At 46.5% G+C, this 23,098-nt stretch overlaps 1 protein-coding gene across 6 annotated transcripts in view, besides 2 other annotated features; it reads left to right on the forward strand.

The window, feature by feature from the left end:
* Positions 1–23,098, forward strand: part of PDZD2 (PDZ domain containing 2) — a 471,802-nt gene that overhangs the window by 113,203 nt on the left and 335,501 nt on the right. The window lies entirely within an intron of this gene.
* Positions 1,302–1,835: an enhancer, noted in NCBI's record as "OCT4-NANOG hESC enhancer chr5:31753742-31754275 (GRCh37/hg19 assembly coordinates)". NCBI's record gives its function as "activates a minimal SCP1, AML or CMV promoter by ChIP-STARR-seq in naive H9 embryonic stem cells {active_cell/tissue: H9 hESC(naive)}" and the evidence as "EXISTENCE:reporter gene assay evidence [ECO:0000049][PMID:30033119]".
* Positions 19,131–19,180: an enhancer, noted in NCBI's record as "active region_22434". NCBI's record gives its function as "activates an Ori minimal core promoter by ATAC-STARR-seq in GM12878 lymphoblastoid cells {active_cell/tissue: GM12878}" and the evidence as "EXISTENCE:reporter gene assay evidence [ECO:0000049][PMID:35858748]".

Consider the following 23,098-nt stretch of genomic DNA (forward strand, 5'->3'; position numbering starts at 1 on the left):
AGGTCAAGAGTTCAAGACCAGGCTGGCCAACATGGTGAAATCCCATCTCTACTAAAAATACAAAAATTAGCCAGACGTGGTGGTGGACACCTGTAGTCGCAGCTACTCGGGAGGCTGAGGCAGGAGAATCTCTTGAACCTGGGAGGCAGAGGTTTCAGTGAGCTGAGATCGTGCCACTGCACTCCAGCCTGGGCAACACAGGGTCACTCTGTCTCAAAAATAAATAAATAAATAAAATAAAATAGGCGTTTTTTTTTCCCCCCCAGAGATGGAGTCTCCTTATGTTGCTCAGGCTGGTCTCGAACTCCTGAGCTCAACTGATGCTGATACCTCAGCCTTCCAAAGTGCTGGGATTATAGGCATGAGCCACCATGCTTGTCCTTGAGCAGGTTTCTCTTGATTTTCTTATTTACTTGTCAAGATATCACCCCTTCTTTGAAGCCTGTTTCAAATACTATTTCTTAGATATGGTTTTCCTGATGTCTCAGCCAGATGTGGTTGCTTCCTCCTCTGAACCCCATAGTGGTTGGTGCCTTTCTTATGCCAACATCTTCTCAACGATCATACCCAGTCTTCTGAGCTGAAATGCTCACAGTGAAAGCCATGGGCCTTAGTTATCCTTGAACCCCTCCTCCAAGGCCAGCACAGCCTCTTGACCCTAGTAGGCACTTGATGATTATTATTTGAATTAAAATGGACTTTCCTTATGATTGGTATTTTCAGCAGCTGCTGTAGGACACTTGTCTCCTGAAGGAAATTTTGATTAGAAATCAAATAATTAAATGTCTATGAGGTATCAGGTGGATAACATAAATAAATGAAGTGAGATAAATATAAGAAAAATTTTTATAGAGGTACCATTGTAAGACAGATTTCACTTTCTTCATAACGCTCTTTAAGCAAAAGCACAAGACAAAAGCATACGTGCATGATGAGGGGCACGGATGCAGGTTTTCTATGCCAGGAGGCAATAGGGAGTGGTGGAGACTGGGGTAAATAAGAGAGCCTGTGCCCCATTCATTCATCTAAAGTTGCCAGCAGGGCGGATCACTTTAGGTCACGAGTTCAAGACCAGCCTAGCCAACATGGCAAAACCCTATCTCTACAAATACAAAAATTAGCTGGGCATAGTGGCACGCACCTGTAGTCTCAGCTACTCAGGAGGCTGAGGCACAAGAATTGCTTGAATCCAGGGAGGTGGAGGTTGCAGTGGGCTGAGGTTGCACTACTGCATTCCAGCCTGGGCAACAGAGTGAGACTCTGTCTCAAATAAATAAATAAATAAACAAACAAACAAACAAACAGCGAAGTTTGGCTCCAGATAACCCACAGTATTGCTGGATAATAGATTTTTCGAGAGAGGCTGCAAATTAAGTCTTTTTGCGTGGACATCCTGATTTCTAGATGTTAGCAAGTGATTCCATTCTTTTCTTTTCAGGCAGCATCACTGGGAAAGCCCTGTTACCAGTTTGAGACCTCACAGAGGTGTTAGGCCTTCTCCCGCTGAGGAAGATAAATAAACTTATTTCAAAATCTCCAGGACATCTAGATGCTTCTCCTACAAGGAGGATGTCTGCATCTTGTTTTTATTCTCCAGCATTAGCATCCCATTGTTCTGCTTCCCTCTGAGTAAGAACCCCAGGGTTACTATCATTATTGTAAGCCCGAATCCCAGCTTCATGTGGCATAAATGCTTCTCTAGTTTGCCTTGAACTCTGTATCACAGGCTTTTTCTTTTCCTCCAGGAGTGGTTTAAATGGAGGCTGCAGCCTTCTGTAAAGTATAATTGAGTTTAAATTGTAGGTTTAATAATAATGATGTTGGGCTCAACGTGGTGCCTTGCAGCCTCTGCCTGCAGCCCTTGGCAACCAGTCACTCATTGATCCTCGCGCCCTCTTCAGGAGGGGACAGCTGAGGGACCTGTGCACCCCCACCCCATCCTGATATGGAACCACAGGGATGAGAGATCAGATGCCCCCCTGTAGCCATGGGCCGTCGGAGGAGAGGGCGGATGATGGGCATCCCTTTGTGCCCCAGGCATGAAGGGTCTGAGGCTGAATTTTCGAGGCTCTCGGTTGTCTTTTTCCTCTCCTTCACCTTTGGGTCTCCCCACGGCTCATTAGGGATTCTATTGGAAGAGACGCAAGGAACTCAAATTCCACAATTTGGTTTCTGTGGAGAAGGTTTAATTAGGAGGGTGTATTAACTTAATTGGCTATCATCAGGCTTCCAGCTTCTTTGTGTATTTTAAGTAATTTTCTCTCCTTTTTTCTTACAGCCAGTAGAGCATGCCTTTAAAAGATTAAGTCTTTTCTTTGGTCTCCTTGAGTAAAAAAAGCTCTGGTTCAGAAGTCAGAGAGCCTGAATTTTGATTGTGACTCTTTCTGGAAAGATCTGTGTATACTTAGATCAGATACTCACTCACTTCTCCTGGCCTCATTTCCACACTGGCTAGATAAGTAGGTTAAATTACAGGACCACGAAAGTCCCTTCCGGTGCTTGCAATGCATAACCTAAGTGTTTCTGTGAAATGACATGAAACTCCTCCTAGAACAACATTTGGTGTGTTTCAAAAGTCAATAAAAATACCAATCTACATATGTTATACAACAGACTAACTGAGGCTTGGACAAGTGAGGGCTTGTTCAGCAAAAACTCAACATTGATGTTATAAAAAGCGCAGAGAAGGATGTTGATGTTGTGTGATGTGGGGCATCCTGCTTGAAAATTACAGGCAGCACAGGCAATGACAGGGCAGCAGCAACCCGTGGCCGACTGATGGCCGCCTTGTGTAGGTTTCCCAGGGTCCACCCTCTGGACAAACCGCAGATGCTCAGAACTCGTGGTCTGGTTCCCCACCGATGACAAACAGCTCCTAATTTTGCTGGTTTCTGAGCTGCCTTTGCTTCGACCCCTGTTTCTGGATGTTTTTTTGTTTCTGTTATGGATGGGAGCAAATTATAACATGGGAAGAATGGGTAGGGGTAAAAACAGAAACATTAAGCCTGAAGAGGTTTCTTTGGGCTTGGAAGTCGGCAATGGCCATTTTAACCGGCATTTCGGGGTGGGGGGCGGTGGCGCTTGCACAGTTTGAAGGTAGTTGGCGTAGGATATCCCATTTTGTACAAATGTCACCTACAACAAAGCTAATCAGATGGCTGTATTCTGCTTCTCTCTCTCCTCGAATGAGTACGCTTTGTTCCTGGAGGCTCCAACTCCACGCATCAGTAAACGTTAGCTATCTAGATCACTTAATTTTTTTTTAATCTTTAGGTGGTGTGTCTTTTTTTTTTTTTTTGCAGCTTTTGTTTCCTCAAAGTAAACATCTTTAAAAAGGACTGAATCTAACATAAGTAATAGATTCATTGATAAGGGAAAACATGCCCCTCTTTTCCTGAAACAAAATTTGCTCATCTCTCTGTGAAATGGAATAAAAGCTTCTAAATGGCAGCTATTAACAGCTGATGAACGTGGCCTGGCTGGGCTATGTCATGAGTGGGCAGGAGAGAGGAGGAGCGGGGCCAAGCAGCGGAGTAAAAGGCTATGTATTTACTGCTCTTAAGAGTTAGACGTGGCCTTGGCAATAGACAACAGCCCTCATTGACTCCAACTCCTAGTGTTATTGGGTCTCGGTATTTGCTACAGAAAACTGCCTTCAGATGTCTTTAAAAGGCTTGAAAATGTGCTGACCACTGATGTGTGAAGGGCTGCAATTTAGACCTCCAGAAATGCCTGGCCTGTAGAGGAATGGGACACCCGAAAGGTCAGTCATGATGAGGAAGGCAAGGACAGCACTCAGAAAGGATGGAACGGGGAAACGCAGAAGCCCCGGCCCCTCCAGGACCCGGGGGTGCCTGTGCCTGGCTCCAGGTCATGCACTCACCTCTAACATAAGAGATGCTTGAGATGCGGCCTGGAGTGAAGGTGGCTTAGAAAACGTCAGACTTTTCCTAAAGGCCAGTGTGCACTCAGAGAAAGATCCAGAAGCTGTCTTCTCTCTGAGGATAAGGACCATTTCTAGTTTGTTCAGCACCACATTCCCAGCACTACCAATGCGTATTCTTATTCATTCATATTTGTGAGTAATTAAATAAAAGGAAGGGATAGAGGAGCTTGGCAAGACCTCCTAGCAGCACTCATCAGCCATGTCCTTGGGCCCACAAGAAGTCCTGTGGCCACTGTGGGCCTGTGGCTGGGGGAGCTATGGGGACACTCTAGTGCTTGGTGGATACCAGACCTCCTCTGGATACTCAGAGCAGAAAGAGAATGGATTATAGGATCCTGGGCACCCCACAGAGTGAACAGGGGGATGAACATAGGAGCTGGGTAAAGGTGGTGGCAGTGTGACAGCTGGGACCCTGGCAGAGATGGTCTGGGCGACACTGTGCTGGCTCAGTATCCACAGCCCTGCCAGGCACCACTGGACACCTGCACTGCCTTACATGTGGGGAAGGCCCAATTTCTTCTAAGTTGGCCCTGCTGGGCGCCATGCAAAAGACACACAAGCCCTAGGGCAGGCATTGGAAGAGACAGTGCTATGAGGAATCCAGTTAATTAAGCAAATATGAATAAAGAAACAAAGCAAAAACACCACTATATACATTTTGGAATTTAATTTTGTGTCCACAGTTGGCCAGGGCCTGTAGTTACAGCATATTAAGAATATGTGGCTGGGTCGGGCGGTTCATGCCTGTAATCCCAGCACTTTGGGAGGATGCAGTGGGAGGATCACGTGAGGCCAGGAGTTTGAGACCAGTCTAAGCAACATAGCAAGACCCTGTCTCTACAAAACATTTTTAAAAATTAGCTGGGCATGGTGGTGCATGCCTATAATCCCAGCTACTCAGGAGGCCGAGACAGGAGGATTGCTTGAGCCCAGGAGCTCCAGGCTGCAGTGAGCTATGACCGCACTACTGCACTCCAAACTGGATGACAGATGAGTCCTCTTCTCATTTAAAACAAACAAACAAATAAAAGGCCAGGCACGGTGGCTCACGCCGGTAATCCCAGCACTTTGGGAGGCCGAGGCGAGCAGATCATGAGGTCAGGAGATCAAGACCATCCTGGCTAACACGGTGAAACCCCATCTCTAAGAAAAATACAAAAAAATTAGCCGGGCGTGGTGGCGGACACCTGTAGTCCCAGCTACTCAAGAGGCTGAGGCAGGAGAATGGCATAAACCTGAGAGGCGGAGCTTGCAGTGAGCCGAGATTGCGCCAGTGCACTCCAGCCTGGGAGACAGAGCGAGACTCTGCCTCAAAAAAAAAAAAAAGAATATGTGAATGGAAGTGCTCAGTGGCTAGTGTGGCTAATTGGCTGAGGTGACGCTGGCTAATTGGCTGAGGTGACGCTCCTGAATAGCTCAGCACATTCTTAAAGAGTCTTAAGTGAAAGAGAATGGTCACAGGTGGTTTTGTTATGGGCTCAGGACAAGTCAAAACACTGGAGACACCTTCCCTGTCCAGGCTGTCATTTGCCACCTGTGAGGTCAACACCAACTCTATCCCCTTCCCTCCCCGCAAAGCCACCCGCACCAGCTGTGCTGGGCTATTGTTTTTCTGTGGGCCCAGCCCAGCTTCATGCCCTATAAAGTGCTCTGGCTTCTGAGGGTGAATTAACTCTTGTTTTTATTGCACTGTTAATTCCAGCTCTTGTCTGTCTCCCTAATTCATTCCACATGTCTGGTCCCTTCTGCCCACAGCAGTCCCTGCCCAGGCCGGGGCTCATCTGTTTTGTACGTCTCGCCTGACAGGCGCTGGCAGCTCCGTCCAAGAGCTCCCAGGGTTTTTCAGGTGCCTCTCTCAGGGCATGCCTCCTCCTGCCCTGGACCGCACTGGATTCTAAACTTTTCAAGAGCCTGGACCTTAACTCATTTGTATTTTGTGTCTTCTCTGAGCCTGATACTTAGCAGGGGCTCAACAAATCTTGTTCAGTCCATGAATGCTTCAAAGCACCTTGGAAGTCGTGCCCAGTGACTGCTGGAAAGAGTGCCGATGGCACTGGAGATGGAATGAGGGTTGGGCAGCCTTACAGGCCAGGGAGGTGCCTCCATGAAGGGCGCCCCAGAGCTCAGCAGATGCATGTGGGGCCTGGAAATGGACCACAAAGGAGCACGTCCAGGCCCTACCCTGGGGGACAGACAGCACATGTGGTGTGGGCGCAGGTTCTAGGCTGAAAGCACTAAGAGGGGAGGAGGGACATGACTGGGCCGATGGGCCCCGGAAGATTCTACTCTCACGCTCGGGCCCTACACATGCCTGCCTGGTACAAACCCTTAATCATGCATTACCTTCAAGCAGGAAGGGACTTAGAAATGCCTCTGATTTTGAGTTTCCCAAGATGTGTTCCTTGGAAGAGTCCTCCTCCCTCCCTTTCCTCCATCCTCATCTTAACCTGGCCCCTTCCATCTTCATTCTCCAGAGTTTGAAGGGTGGAGAAAGCACCCCAGGTGGGTAGATGTGTCCATTTCAGAATCTACCCATTTCCTCCCAAAGTATGGAAAGTGTATGGCCTCTGCTTTGAAAGCAAAATGGTAGAGCAAAAAAAGTGTTAGAGAAAGCATCCTGCTGTTCCGCACCCGCCTCCACATGCGTTCCCTGGCTACACTGTGTTCCTGGTCCTGCTTGGCTGTGTTTCCCACTCCCTCCTCCTCTTCCACCTCCATTTCCAACAGGTCCTCACACTGGATGAGCCATTAGCTCTGCCCCAATTTTAACCCCATAAGCAAGACTCTTAGAACCCAGGAGTGGTGAGCTCCCCCACGCCAGCACTTCTCATCATCGGCCCCCACCTCCCCTTGCCGTGCCCACCCCCTCCTCCACCTCCTCCCATTGTTGTTATTTCTGGGAGCTGGGGAGGAACAGCGTGAACTAGCTACTGCAGGATTGAAGTGTATTGTGACCACCCTGCTCAGAACCACAGAGTGTTTGTAAAAGGATGCATTTGAACAGCTGGTAGTGCACACACACCCGGCTCTTCGAGGCTTCGGGGGGAGTGCAGTTTCCTAGTATGAAATTAAAAGATAAGTTCTTTACTCTTTCATCCTAAATTTTGCTTTAGCCTGATTTGCTGGCGCTGTAGTCAGAGGCCAACATGTGGCCCATGGAACATTGTTAGGTGATTCTCCAAAAGTGGGAGGTGGGAATGGTTTGGGAAAACACAGATACACATACCCAAAACCTCCTTGCCAAGGGACTTCTCAGAACTATTTTTTTTTTTTTTTTTTTGAGACTCACTCCGTTGCCCAGGCTGGAGTGCAGTGGTGTGATCTCAGCTGAGATCAGCTCACTGCAACCTCTGCCTCCCAGGTTCAAGCGATTCTCCTGCATCAGCCTCCTGAGTAGCTGGGATTACAGATGCATGCCACCACTCCTGGTCAATTTTTGTATTTTTAGTAGAGACGGGTTTCACCATGTTGGCCAGGCTGGTCTCAAACTCCTGACCTCAGGCGATCCTCTCACCTCGGCCTCCCAAAGCGTTGGGATTACAGGCATGAGCCACTGCGCCTGGCCTCAGAACTCTTAATAGGGTGTGTTTGGTAAGAGCAAAGACTGTGTCTTTGTCATTCATTCTGATGCCTTCAGATAAAAGATCATCAAAAATGAATACATGTATTATGAATTTCCAAAAGGAGATATGGTTTACACAGCATCTTCCAACCTCAGGACTCTGCATTTGCAGAGCAGCTCAGGGGTGCAGCTTCAGGTTCTGCTCCCGGTAAAGCAGATGGGAGGAGGAGTGGGGAGTGTTTGCTGGCACCTCTTTAAGGAAGCAGACCCAGAGTGGGAGGAGAGTTGTCCTTAATTAATAAAGTGGCCATTGCGTTGATGGCTCTTATGTTGAACTCAGGCACAATTGCATTAAAACACATATTTACTGAGCATCTACAGGGCACTCAGCATGATTCTCAGGAAATGTGCTGACAGCATGCTAGGTGCTTGAACAACAATGAACCAAACATAGTTTCTGGCATGAAATAATTTCAGGAGTTGCATGAAACTAAGCCTAGAGGAATAATCAGAAAACAATTCAAGGCAGTATAAAATTGTGAGCATAGGTGTACAGTGCCAACAGTAAGCACCATGAACTATAAAAATAAGGAAGAAATTAGACATGCCTAGGTTATCATGGAGATCTTTGGGAGAAAGTGGGATTCGAGGTAGATTTCAAAGAATGGTATGGGTGTGGATTGTAGAGCAATAGAAAGGCAGCATCCTCAGGGAGAGATCTTTATGTTGTCCACTCATGTATCCTAAGCACTTAGTCCCCAGCACAGAGTCACTGCAATAAATATTTGTTAAGTGAGAGGCCAGGCGTGGTGGCTTATGCCTGTAATCCCAGCACTTTGAGAGGCCAAGTCGGGCGGATCGCTTGAAACCAGGAGTTCAAGACCAGTCTAGCCAACATGGTGAAACCCCCATCTCTATGACAAATACAAAATTAGCCAGATGCGGTGGTGTATGCCTGTAATCCCAGCTACTTGGGAGGCTGAGGTGGGAGAATTGCTTGAGCCCACGAGGCAGAGGTTGCAGTGACCCGAGATCACGCCACTGCACTCCAGCCTGGGCGATGAGAGCGAGACCCTGTCTCAAAAAAATAATAAATAAATAAATAAGCAAACATTTGTTGAGTGGAAGAGTAGAGGAGGGAGGAAGAGCATTCTAGAAGTCAACAGTCAGGCGGAAGCTCTAGGTGGGAATGTGTTCACTCCGTGTGGGGAGGGGCACATAGTAGGGGTGGTGGTGACGGGAGTGGTGCTGTGTAAGAGCTGTAGGTTGGAAAGGTGGGGGTTGAACTGTAAAGAGTCTTGAATATCAGGATGGAAAATTCAAATGCGATGTTGTAGGTTCTTCATTTAGGGAGATAACATGGGAAAGCAACCACAGTGAAAAGTCACCCAAACGGAAAAATAACAAGGGCAGCAGCGTTTTAGTCTGGAATATTAGTTTGGTGACTGACTGCAGGATGAGAGAAAGGGAGGATCCAGATTCTTCCAAATGGGATGGTAGCAGCGGGAGTAGAGAAATAAAAAGATAACGTGAGAAATGTTCCAAAGCAAAGACATAGGGCTTGGGGGATAAAGGAAAAGGAGAAAGTTAAAAGTAAAGACGACACTAAGAAATTTGAATAATTAGGAGAATGTTGGTATTCTCGGGGGAAAAAAAATGAGACTGTATTATAGTCCAGTCTCACATTGCTATGAGGAAATACCTGAGACTGGGTAATTTATAAAGAAAAGAAGGTTAGGCCAGGCACAGTGGCTCATGCCTATAACCCCAGCACTTTGGGAGGCCAAGGTGGGCGGATCACCTGAGATTGGGAGTTCAAGACCAGCCTGGCCAACATGGTGAAAGCCCATGTCTACTAAAAATACAAAAAGTAGCTGGGCATGGTAGTGGGTGCCTGTAATCCCAGCTACTTGAGAGGCTGAGACAGGAGAATCGCTTGAACCCAGAAGGTGGAGGTTGCAGTGAGCCAAGATCACACCGCTGCACTCCAGCCTGGGTGACAGAGCAAAACTACATCTCAAAAAAAAAAAAAAAGAGGGTTAATTGGCTCACAGTTCCGTAGGCTGTACAGGAAGCATAATGCTGGCGTCTGGGAGGGACCACAGAAAACTTACAATTATGGCGGAGGGTGAAGGAGAAGCCAGCACCTCACATGGCTAATGCAGGAGGAAGGGTGGGGAAGGTGCCACACACTTTTAAACAACCAGATCTGGTGAGAACTCACTCTGCAGTACCAAGGAGGAAATGGTGCTAAACCATTCATGCGAACTCCACCCTCTTGGTCTAATCCCCTCCTACCAGGCTCCACCTCCAACACTGGGGATTATAATTCAACATGAGATTTGGGCTGGGACACAGATCCAAACCATATCATCAGTTTACCTTCCAAAAGGTCAGAAACCACAGCTGAGATACGGGCACTTGGTTTTGTTTGTTGTTGTTGTTGTTGTTGTTGTTTTGAGACCAAGTTTCACTCTTGTAGCCCAGGCTGGAGTGAGTGCAATGGCACGATTTCAGCTCACTACAACCTCCACCTCCTGGGTTCAAGCGATTCTCCTTCCTCAGCCTCCCAAGTAGCTGGGATTACAGGCATGAGCCACCACGCTCGCCTACTTTTTGTATTTTTGGTAGAGATGGGGTTTCACCATGTTGGTCAGGCTAGTCTCAAACTCCTAACCTCAGGTGATCCGCCTGCCTCAGCCTCCCAAAGTGCTGGGATTACAGGCATGAGTCACCACTCCTGGCTCCTATGGGCACTTCTTATGCTAGCACAGGCCTTGCCTTCCCTTCAGTGTGACTGTTTGACACTTGAAGCAGTTCACAGCTGTGCATCAACTTCCATGGAAGCCATGTGTCATGGCGGCTGTTGAGTACAGTGGGCTGAGTGCAATAATTGGCCATAAATCAAAGCTCATTAGATGGAACCATTAAGTAATCTGAGGATTGGGGAGGGAGGATATTGTAAATTGGGAGTTGGATTTGAGAGGTAATCCAGTCTGCTGTCTCTAGTGTCCTTCCCCTGTGGAGTGCTGCCTTCCGCTGTTTCAACTTGGCCTGACATTTATAGGCATTTTTGGCCCCTTCTTCTGCCCCCGACCCCTCCACCACACACTTCCCCTCAGCAATGAGCAAACTGGGAATCACTGGACTTGAAATCAAGGTGGAGCTCAGTAGAGTGGTTAATTAAGAATGTGATTTTTTAAAGCACTTTAGGGAGTTACTAGAAATCGGAAATGCCTTTTTCGTTTGATTAAGAGTTACTGGTTTGTGAGGGCAGTGACTGAGATGTCATTATCTGTGTTTTTGGAAGCTGCAGGGCTCTGAGTCTAGCCCTCAGGAGCTCTTAGCATCAGTGAACCTTGCCAGCATCAGCAGGCCCCCAGCTCCTGCCCACAGAGCACCTCCCTGCCAGGGGCCACAGTCCCTAGGGCCTCCGGTATCAGGCGGTCAGGATGACAGTATCCTAAGAAAACCCTTTCCCCTAGCCAGTCCCCAGCATGCGGCACACTGTCTACCTCAGCCATGAGCCTCTGTCCTTGCGTGTGTGCAGTTTCTTGTTTAGAACAGACCCACAAGAAATAAAGAAACTCATGAACCTCAACAAAATAACCACCTACCGCAAGGACAGAATGATGTTTACGAGCCACAATGGAAGGAAGGAACCACTTTGGCAAATTCATCACTGGAATTTGAATGATGCGTATGTGTTCTTACATATAATTTGAAGTTGAGAACGTGGAACATTGAGAAGAAGAGACTGAGAGGTTGTGACGTCATCAAGAAAGCAGAAGAGGTAGCCCCAGACCCTCTTTCCTGGCATGGAGACAGTGACTCAGCACCATGCAGACCAGTTCTCTTTGTGAAAAATCCAGAAACCAGAGGCTCCTATACCTCAGGTGAGCGCTTCACCAGCCTCATCAAAGCTGGTCATCTGACATCAAGCTGGAAATGGCCAACTGCAAGCAGTCTTCAAAGGATCTGAAAATACAAAGAATTTGAAAGTAAAGGAGAGGAGGGAGCCCTCTGATTAAAAAAAAAAAAAAAAAAGTCATAGTGTAGACCTTTAATCTCTGAGAGTAGTGAGCTCGGGCTCTGACTTGACTGAAGGCACCAAAATAGCTAAGCCCAGAAGGTTATTTATTATATACGAATGGGATGGTCTGGCCGTGGAATTCCTCTGGAAGACAAGCTGCAGAACTGCAGGAGAGGGCACCTGCTGCCCGTCACGGATGTCCACCCAATCCTGCTCAGGAGGAACTCGGGGACTCAGGGAACCTGAAACTTTTTACACGCTTCCATCCACACTCATTCCCTTCACGGCATCAGCCCATCATTTCTCATGATAAAGTAAAGCATGATTCTGACCCCTCAAAGTAAAAGAGATGGAATTTTCCTTCCTTCAGATGTGAAAACAATTTGGAAGCTCCAGATGATAGTCTTTCTAGAGGGATTCAGAGTGCTAATTTCCTGTTTTCGTCCTTCACGCCCCTTCATCTTTACTTTTCCTCTCAAACCTTCAGGAATCAGGGATAGAAAATAAACCCTTAGAGGATTTGCCTCTAGATCAGATGTCCAAAAACTCTCCTGGAACTTCTGGAATATTTGCCTCTAAGAAGTAGGGCAACCTCGAGTCAAAGCCCCTCCTGCCCTCCTGTACACATTAAAGATTTGAACAACAAACAAAACTTTCTTCATCTTCTTTAGGAGTGTTCGGGAAATCTGATGGCAGAAAGGACTTTTGTTTCCTCTTCTAGGAATTCTCTCCTCCCTGAAAAAAAGTTTTCCCATGTCAGTATTTTCCAATGTCCACTTCATGCTGTCTCAGACTCATGTTCTGGGTCTTCCTCCTCTTCCCGTTTTTCATCATGTGTTCCTTTGGCAAATGCCCTGATGCCCAGTTTTCCTGAATCGCCTTGGCAAGGTTGTTACCATTGCTTCAGAATTGCCCAAAGGGGCCGGGCACAGTGGCTCACACCTGTTATCCCAGCACTTTGGGAGGCCAAGATAGGCGGATCATTTGAGGTCAGGAGTTCGAGACCGGCCTGGCCAACACGGAAAAACCCTGTATCTACTAAAAATACAAAAACTCTCTGGGCGTGGTGGTACATGCTTGTAATCCCAGCTACTCGGGAGGCTAAGGCACGAGAATTGCTTGAACCCGGGAGGTGGAGTTTGCAGTGAGCCGAGATCACGCTACTGCACTCCAGCCTGGGCCACAGAGCAAGACTGCGTCTCAAGAAAAAAAAAAAAAGAATTACCCAAAGGAAGAGGACAGAGACTAAATTGGGGTTCTCAGGCCCATTGCTGATGGCACTCTCTCCTGGAGCCCCCTCTCTAGTTATAACCCAGACCTCATCCACTGCCACATCAGAGGACCACTGGCATTCCTTCAACACCACTGCTAATGGTAACCAGATTGTCAGAGCTCTGGAGAGGAAACTACATGTACTCCTCGCTGGAGGATGCTCTTCCTCCCTCCCAGAACATCGGTGACCACACTTCCCTCTAGTTTGCAGCCTCAACCTTCAACTTGAAGCCCAAAAGCTACCATTGGGAAAGGACTGCTTATTGTTTTAAGTGAAGGATTTTGAAGATGGTAACTTAACTTCTAAAACTTCTAATGAAGATAAAAATCAATTTCCTGCCCGCCCCTGTTCTCTCTCTCTTTCTGTCTTCCTCTGGCTCTATTATCTGAAAAATGTAGCTCGGGAAAATATGGCTCTGGGGAATAATGGAAGTGAGAAAGCTGTGTAGCCTGAGCTGAAAAGCAATTAGTTGTCCCCAAACCATCTCCAAACTAGCAGAGGCGCATCCCTGAGGCCGGAAGACATCACTGTGATTTAGTTCTGTGTTGGTCAGTTTGCTGACAGCATGCTGTGTGTCCTGGGGCCCCATGAAAAGTGGTCACCACTTCCCTAGCTGGATGGGACCTTTGCAGGGCCTCAAGAGTCAATGGGTAAGAAAGAAGACCAAGGTAGACGAATCTTTGAATATGTGGCTAGTCGTGAGCTGCTGCTTAGATTTTAAAATGGTAAATTAAGATTCTGAGACCAGGCGTGGTGGCTCATGCTTGTAATCCTAGCACTTTGGGAGACTGAGGCAGGTGGATCACTTGAACCAAGGGTTCAAGGGTTCAAGACCAGCCTGGGCAACATGGCAAAACCCTATCTCTACAAAAAATTACAAAAATTAGCTGGGCATGGTGGTGCACACCTGTAGTCCCAGCTACTCAGGGGGCTGGGGTGGAAGAATTACCTGAGCCCAGGAGGCTGAGGCTGCAGTGAGCAGTGATCAGGGTATTGCACTCCAGCCTAGGCAACAGAGTGAGACCCTGTCTCAAAACAAACAAACAAACAAAAATTCTGCCTGATTGGTTTTTGCTGGACACTGCTTTATGTCAGGAAAAAACAAACAAAAGTATTCCCTTTATAGTATTGTTTTCTACAGTGTGAAACTCAGATGTCCATATTTGAAGATGCTAATATAAAAAAAGAAGTCCATGGTCAAATAAGTTTCTTTTTTATTATTGTATTCATTTTATCTTATTTTATTTTTTGAGATGGTGTCTCACTCTGCCGCCTAGGCTGGAGTGCAGTGGTGCGGGATCATGGCTCACTACAACCTTGACCTCTATAGCCTCAGATGATCCTCCCACCTCAGCCCCATCATCCCCGAGTAGGTGGGACTACAAGTGTATGCCACCATCCCTGCATAATTTTTTTGAATTTTTAGTAGAGATGGGGTTTCACCATGTTGCCTAGGCTGGCCTCTAACTCTTGGGCTTAAGACATCTGCCCGCCTCAGCCTCCCAAAGTGCTGGGATTACAGGTGTGAGCCACAGCACCCAACCTACATAAGATTCATAAGTTCTTTTTTAAACCTTAAGCAGAATTTTTTTTTTTTTTTGAGACAGAGTTTCGCTCTTGTCTCCCAGGCTGGAGTGCAATGGCGCATCTCAGCTCACTGCAACCTCTGCCTCCTGGGTTCAAGTGATTCTCCTGCCTCAGCCTCCTGAGTAGCTGCAATTAAAGTGCCCACCACACACCCAGCTAATTTTTATATTTTTAGTAGAGACTGGGTTTCATCATGTTGGGCAGGCTGTTCTCCAACTCCTGACCTCAGGTGATCCACCCACCTGCCTCCCAAAGTGCTGGGGGATTACAGGTGTGAGCAACTGCACCCAGCCTTTTTTTTTTTTTTTTTTTGAGACAGAGTCTCACTGTGTCTCAGTGGAGACTGGAGTGCAGTGGCGAGATCTTGGCTCACTGCAACCTCTGCCCTCTGGGTTCAAGCGATTCTCCTGCCGTAGCCTCCCGAGTAGCTGGGATTACAGGTGCCCGCCACCATGCCCAGCTAATTTTTGTATTTTTCGTAGAGACGGGGTTTCACCCTGTTGGCCAGGCTGGGCTCCAACTCCTGAACTCAAGTGATCCACCCACCTCGGCCTCCCAAAGTGCTGGGATTACAGGCGTGAGCCACCACGCCCAACCCCTTAAACAGCTTTTAACCATACAGGACTTCTCAGAGACTTCAACAGGAATGATGCCTTGAAGAAGACCATGTGGTAGACGGCAGTTCTCAGATGTGTCTGCCAATGGTCACCCGTTTCAGGAAGGCAGCTCTTGGAACTGTTTTTCAGTATCACATGTTTTGCTGCTGTATACCTGTTCCTCATTTCCAAGACCTTCATTTTTCTGTTGATGTTTCAAACCAGATGACTCATATCTTGTAGTCATTTCTCCTTTACAGGATGATTTTTGAGGTAATTGACCCATTTCTGACCACATTTTATAAAAGATCAGTCCGTCAACGTAAGATGGAGACTATGTAAAGTTTTCAGATGGCCATCTCCTCTGCAATATTGATGGGGCCTGCAGACTTGAAGCAATTGCCCAGGCCCCTCAGTTTCCATGCATGGCCTCCTTTGAGCCTGAGAACAAGGTTCCTGGCCTGTCCCTAGTCTCTCCTTGATCCATACTCCTTAAAAGGATTTATTCAGGCCTCTTCTGCCAACTGCTATTTAGTCATTTTCACTTTGTCCAATTTTGAATTGGCCTATTCCTTGCCAAATATTTTTTGGTAACATACTTGAAAGCAAAGTGATAAATTGGGAACAACCAGATCATTCCTTTGGAACAGTGTCTTTTTTACCAGCCAGGCTTTCCACCTGTGAGGTCAGCTCTTCCTTCCAGGATTGTCACCACATCTAGAGGCTTGGCCCAGCCAATGGCAAGAGGATGAGAGGCACCAACTACACAGAACTGGGACCTGGAGTTAGGTCTCTCCAGTGAGGTGGGGTAGGCAAAGTCTCACGTCAAAGAGGTTTAGCAACAGCACGCTGTGGTTCAGGCAAACAGTTGGCACCAGAGTCTCCAAAGGCTGGGAACTCCGTGAAAGGCAGGCGAGCAGGCAGCTTGCAACACACTCCAGCCATCAGCCCAAGGGACAGGGCGATATTCTGGATGCTGCAGTGGGAACTAGAGATAGATGAGGCTTCAGGGATTAGAACCGAGACAAAAGGCCAGGCTCAGTGGCTCATGTCTGTAATCCCAGCACTTTGGGAGCCTGAGGTGGGTGGATCACAAGGTCAGGAGTTTGAGACTAGCCTGGCCAACATAGTGAAACCCCGTCTCTACTAAAAATACAAAAAATTAGCTGGGCATGGTGGCACGTACCTGTAGTCCCAGCTACTTGGGAGGCTGAAGCAAGAGAATTGCTTGAACCCAGGAGGCGGAGGTTGCAGTGAGCCAATATTGTGCCACTGCACTCCAGCTGGGCAACAGAGCGAGACTCTGTCTCAAAAAAAAAAAAAAAAAACTGAGACACAAGATCAGGACTTCAGCAGTGATGAGGCTGAACTGATGCCTGGTCGAAGGGTATGACATTGAGCAGCTCTTCAGTGATCCCTGCCTCATGTCATGATTGCACCAGAGATTTCTAGCGGCACTGGAGCAGGGACAGCGGTGGAGGGGTAAGGGGATCACATGTAGGAATAGGGACAGGCAGAGGCTGAGAACCAATAGCGCTCCAACTTCGCTGTGGTAATACTGGGAATCCTTGTCTTTCTCATCACCCTCACAAATTTCCTAAAGGTGGGGACAATGTCTGTTTCCATCACCTGCATGTTGCCCATGCTGCCCCCAGGTGTCAGTAAATTCGTCCAGAATGAATGAGTGAATGAACTGAACTACTTAACAGCAGTGGGGATGGAATTCGGTTTGCAGGGGAGACGATGCTCAGGACGCTGGAGATCCACATCCCTGCATTGCCGAGGGCAGATGCAGCCGGAGAGCCCCACTGGGACACAGTGATTTTTCCAGACCCTTCAAGCCATGTGGCTTGTGTGTAGGTCCGTACTGACCAGATAGCCCGAAGGTGGCATGAAGCTGAACAAACCTGGATCGAAGCAAATGCAGTTGGATCCCAAGGTTGCAAGTCTGTTTCTGTTTTGAGCAATTTGTCTGGTAAACATTTAGCAGGACCTGTTTCACCTCACTGAGGATAAAAGAGAAGCTTTGGCTCAAAATCCTAGTGCCAGAATTTCTGGCCAGCAGGGACATTTCTAAAGTCACCAAGCAAATGTTTCCCGATTACGAATTGTAATTTGGGATTTCAATGTCGGGAAAAGGACAGCAGATCAGACGTTTTAAAAATGCACAGCCTCCAAGGTAAAAATAGTGGAGGAAAGTCAAGACCAGCTGAATTTTGCCTAAAAGAGCCCGGTTTCCTCCTAAGCTAGGTGCTTGGCTTTTATTTTTAAATTGTTTCTCCTGATACTTTGAAACGCTGTTGTGTTCTGAGTCACTGAAGAGTTGGAAGAAGTCAATTAATTTTTAATGCAAAATGCAGAATTTGGAAGTGCCTGAGTGGGTTTTGGAGGGTGGCAGGGTTCCAGGCCGAGGCCACAGAGTCTAGAGTTACAGGACTTGGGTTGTGGTGAGGAACTTCAGAGTCACTTAGCTCATCAACACCATCTTGATGGTATTCTTGTTGATGAAAACTTTCAGACTAAATGCTAATTACTTTCAAGAGGTGGAATCTGGATTTTGTTATTGTTTTGTTTTGTTTTTTTCTTGTGCTAGGTCAAAGTGTCTTATGAGTCCCCAAGTGAAGTCTTTGTAACTCATCTGTCCTCTTCGGTCATCTCACCAACACTTAGATTCTCTGGCAGCCTGAGGCAGACTCTTCTTTTCCGAAAGATGAAAAGCATGTCACTGGAAATATTAGTCAGGCTGAAGAAAAAGCTTTGTGAGTTCTGCATAATCACAAAGAAAGGGAAAGTAGGTCACATTTGGAGCTTGTTCTGTTTGTGGAGGAAAAATAAAAGAGGATGAAGAAGAAAATGTCAGATAATTTAGTTCTACCACAGCTTCTTAAGCCAAACCGATGGTGTCAGAGTTTTGAGATCTGACACCATCCTCACACACTCGGGTCTCCCACAGGTTTAAAGAAAATCTCCCAGGGCTGGGCTCAGAGATACTGCCAGACAACGGGAACTGACGGAACCAATTGAATAGGATTCCCCATATGTGCTTCAGAGAGAATTCATTTGCAGCTGAATGGCAGGCTTTTGGATTGGAAGAGAGTATTTGGAGGGCTTGTCTGAGGTTGCAGAATTCATCCTGAGTAGCTGCCATCCCAGGTCACCCCTGAGTCACCCCCAGTTTCCAGTTCATTGGCTGCCATTGGCTGTCAGTGGGGTCAGGAATTATTAACAGGACTACAATACTCCGGGGACCCAGAGTATGTTCTAATTCCGTTGGTCTTTAGGGTTGTGAGATTTCCTGGTCCAGGCCAGATTCCTGGAAGGAGATGCTACTAGCAAGCTATGGCCACCCCAGAATAGCCTGATGTAAATGGAAACCAGCGGCTGGGAGAGCTCTACACACTGGGGTTCAGAGGGATGCTTTATGTGCAAAGCACCAAACCAGGGCAGTTTCTCTGCTGTGGCTCCAGCTCTCTTAGAGCCTCAAATTTAGAAAAAAAAAAATCAAGATGCCATGAATGGCCTCAGCTCTAGGTCTTATCTTCTGTCTTTTTACTTTTTTTTTCCCTTCTATTTTTCATTTAAGTGCCCCTCAGGTTTTGCAGGAGTTGTAGTCTTGAAAATGTGTGTGCTTTTTTTGCTAAAGAAGCATGTATGGTTGAATCATTAGGGAAGCTTGCTATTTATGGAAAGACTACCGTGATGCAATTTATGAAGGGAAAATCCTTTGGATGTGCAAATAAGCATGATTTAATGAAACTGCCCCAGGATGAGCTTTGAGTCTAATGTATTTGCTGTTTATAAATTGGGAACCTCTGTGACAACAGATATAGTTCTGCTACTTTCTATTTGACAAAACAGGAAATCAAGAGTGATACAGGGACTGTCTGTGACTATTTTAATATTCATGTAACTATTCAGAGCTAGGGGAGATCTCAGTCTGTGTGGATGTTGCAGTATACTTTGGTATTTATCTTGTGCATGCTACCTGTCATCCCTAAGCTTATCATCAGCACCATTAGTAACACTGAGTCAGTGCCTACTATGCATGGGGCACTGGGTTTATTAAAGTCTATTACATCCTGGGCTGATGGGAGTGTTTTCGAAGTTTTCAGGGCCACCAAGATCTATGTAGATTTGCATTGTGTGTGCACTGTGTAGATTTGTGTGGTTGGGGGAGACAGAGGGTATGGAGTTAAGATGAGGTCTGGCAGGTCTGCTGTTGGATTGGCCAGGGTCCAGGAACAGGAGGTCTAACTCAAAAAGGAGGCCAGTGTAGGTACTGAAGCCCAGACCCAAATTGAAAACAATCACTTACTCATCAGCAAGAACAAGAACAGTGTGATAGACCAGAAGGACAGGAAGATTGCATGAGGCCAAGGTTAACTGCCTGGCAAGTTAAAGGACGGTTGATGCAAGAGTGATTGGGTGTGGTTAGTAAAGGACAGTTGACGCAAGAGTGATTGGATGTAGTTAGTGGGCAGGCCTGGCTCCTTCACTCACTGCCTGGGTGACTTTTCCCTTCTTAGGCCTCAATTTTTTTAACCTATTAAATGAGATAATTAGATTAGATGAGAGATTTTCAAATATACTACTTTTTAGGCACTGGAACCCTTTCTTAAACTAAGATTTTTGATATGGAATCACAATGTGTAAATCAATGAAGGTGGAGAAGCCCCATCTGGTTGGTGTGGGGGTGGGGAGAGGAGCAGGATTGGGCATGATGGATATAGTGAGTTCTAAATTTCTCTTCAAACAATCAGTATGTCAGAATGTTCAGTTCTTTGTCCTCCATTTTGAAGTTTAACTTCCTCGTAGTTTGAGTAAACAACCTTTTCCACCAGTTTTAATCAGTAGTTCACATCTGTTTCCCGGGTCACCAGCTCCATCCTAACTCATCCTGGTCACCTGCTCTGACCTAAGTCACCTTCAGTTACCTGTTCTATAACCGTCTTTCCTGCCAAACTGCTCACCCCGCCACTCTGGGTCATACCCTTGCTCTCTTTAAAATAGCCAATAGGAATTAGCTTAGACTGTGTGGTCCAACCCTAGCCAACAGGAGAACAACACAGCAGTAGGGGCTACCTGCATCAGGAATAAGAACCCCTTCCCCTCTGTTGTTCAGGTGTGCTCTCGCCATTGCCCCATCCGCGAGTTGCACCCTTCTGTGGAAGTAAAATTGCCTTCCTGAGAAAATTCTTTGAGTGCTAGTTCTCCTTTTTGGCACCAAGGAACAAGCATTTGTTTCTAACTGGCACCTCAACTCCAACCACTTGGCCCCTGTCTTACGGATCTAGGTGGTTCCTTGACCTTCCAGACGCAACATTAGAATATACTAGAATGGATAAATTTTAAATTTCTATCTTAAAAGTTTGGTCAACAAGACTTTGGAATCAGTGCTGCCTTTTTATTTTCATGGTTTCCTAGACATTTGTGCCTGGAGGGCACCTCCTGTTTTTAGAAGAATTACATCTGCACAGAATCAGGCCTTTCCATCAATCACAGACCAACCAGAAGTTTCTGCAGCTCAACTGAGTAACTGGAGCAAGGAGACCATTGATTGAAGCTGGACTATATGGTATAGACACACGTGTTGCTCACTGTCTGCTTGAGAAGGTTCCATGGAGTGTCAGAAAGCCCCTCCTGTCCCGGCTTTCTCATGTTCATGTGAGACAGAGGACTTTGGAGGCAACATGTAGTTCTTGAGAGTCACAGTCTATGGGATTAGGAAGTGAAAGCCATTGAGAAGCAACATGTCTGTAACACCAACATTCACCCGACAGTCAAAAGTCGTTGGTACAGGGAGCATGTAGGAAGTAGGAAAAAACAAGATAGAATTTTATTTACTTTCCTGCAGAGACCATAAACTGGTTCCAAAACCAAGTCAACTTGGGGCTAGTAGCCCCTTTCCTTTACTCAAAAAAGCTCCTAGACTTATTTAATCATGAGACAATGGGAGCTCAAGTTTCATTCTAACTATTCAGCAAGAAATTTGGGGTCTTATGATGTATTCAATATAGTCTAGTGAAAGGCAGACGCGGTGGCTCATGCCTGTAATCCCAGCCCTTTGGGAGGCCAAGGCTGGTGGAACACTTGAGGTCAGGAGCCCGAGACCAGCCTGGCCAACATGGCAAAACCCTGTCTCTACTAAAAATACAAAAAAAAAAAAAAAAATTAGTGAAGCATGGTGGCGCATGTCTATAGTCCCAGCTACTTGGAGGCTGAGGCAGGAGAATCGCTTGAATCCAAGAGGCAGAGGTTACAGTGAACCAAGGCCATGCCACAGCGCTGCAGCTTAGGTGACAGAGCAAGACTCTGTCTCAAAAAATATTTATTTAGATATATTGATTTATCTACCTAGAAAGAGAGAGAGACAGAGAGAGGGAGACAGTCTAGTGGAAAAAAAGCCTGAAATTCAGTATTAATACCTGGATTATTGTCCCAGCTCAGCTCCTGGCTGTGTGACTTTAGACAAGTCACTTGGGCTCTCTGGGACCGTGTTTACATATTTGTTAAATTGGGAGAGCACCCAATCATGGCAAGGATACAGTGAGATCATAGATGGAAGAGTGTTGAGAGTGATCTACCCGCTTTACAGACATCAGGAATAGCTAGCATGCAGCTGGTGAAAACCGATGTCGACACCTAGAGGAATGGTGTTCCAGCCACAGAGTCCCAGGGTGACCTGGGCAGTGACTCCTATTCTCCCCAGCTGTTCATCCCTCCTTTGTTAAATCACCAATAACAGCTTTATGCCCAGAGCAGAGGTCCAGAAGCCAGCTCACCCCAGCCCTAAGCCTGGTGTGGGCTGAGCTGGGGCTGTGTCTTCCTGGAGCCTGGCATCTGCTCACCCGTTCTTATTTCCCAGAGTTCTACTTGACCTGTGGGTAGGTGGGTAGTTCAGATTTGAGCACCACCCTACACAGAGGGTAAAAACCTGGGAGGCCAGGGCAGGAGTAGATAAAAGAAAGATGAGGAAAGGTGTGAATCAGAGCTCAGAAGGGAAAGAAACCACCCCCTTTGCCAAAAAGTTGATCATTGTGCAGAGAATACAGGTTCACTGTAGAAAAAAGAAAACAAAGAAGATAAAAACTACTTGTTAGTGGCTAGGTGTGGTGGCTCATACCTGTAATCACAGCACTTTGGGAGACTGAGGCAGGCAGATCACGTGAGGTCAGGAGTTCGAGACCAGCCTGACCAACATGGTGAAACCCTATCTCGACTAAAAATACAAAAAAAGTAGCCGGGTGTGGTGGTGCACGCCTGTAATCCCAGCTATTTGGGAGGCTGAGGTAGGAGAATCGCTTGAACCTGGGAGGCAGAGGTTGCAGTGAGCCAAGATCACACCACCTTTGCACTCCAGCCTGTGAAACAAGAGCAAAACTCCCTCTCAAAAAAAAAACAAAAACCAAAAAACTGCTTGTTAGTCTTACCACCCAGAATGAAAACAGTTAGTGTTTTAATGTTTTAGCTATTTTACTTCCTGACTTTTTACACATACACCAATGTGTATATAAATAGAACTTTAAAAATGGAAAGGGATCATACTCCTTAGTGTGCTGTTAAATGTTTAACAAATGGCTGGCAGGGAGGGGCCATCCTGATTTGTAGCATTTGCCAATTTCTGTGGTGTAAACACTCCCACCATGGCTGGTTTCAAAGTATCAACATGATGTCAACCAGCTTGCAAACTTCCTGAAATTTTAACAATCAGCTCTTGGGAAACATCGAGAGCCAACTCCAGCAGGCTGCCAACTACATTTTGTTTTCTAATTAGCCTTTCTTCCTCACGCTATAGTACAAACGTCTTCATGCCTAAACTTTTCAAAAGTTGTCTTTCTCAAATTACTTATTTGAGTCAAAATTGTTTTCCTTTGGGAATCTGGAACCGATTGTAAATACTGTCCTCTAGTTAGAATTTGCCTGTTTCTCATGTTCCATAGATCCTTGTCTGAGTGGGGAGTGGATCCACACTTTTTTATTAGGTGGCTGGAATAGAGATGTAATTGAAAAAAAAAAAAAGATTAATGTGATGCTGCAGAAGCATGTGGCGGCTTGGCAGTTCATTATCTGAGGACGGATTTGACGTAATAGAGACAATTTT

The sequence above is a fragment of the Homo sapiens genome, chromosome 5 (genome assembly GCF_000001405.40).
Source record: "Homo sapiens chromosome 5, GRCh38.p14 Primary Assembly".
NCBI lineage: Eukaryota > Metazoa > Chordata > Mammalia > Primates > Hominidae > Homo > Homo sapiens.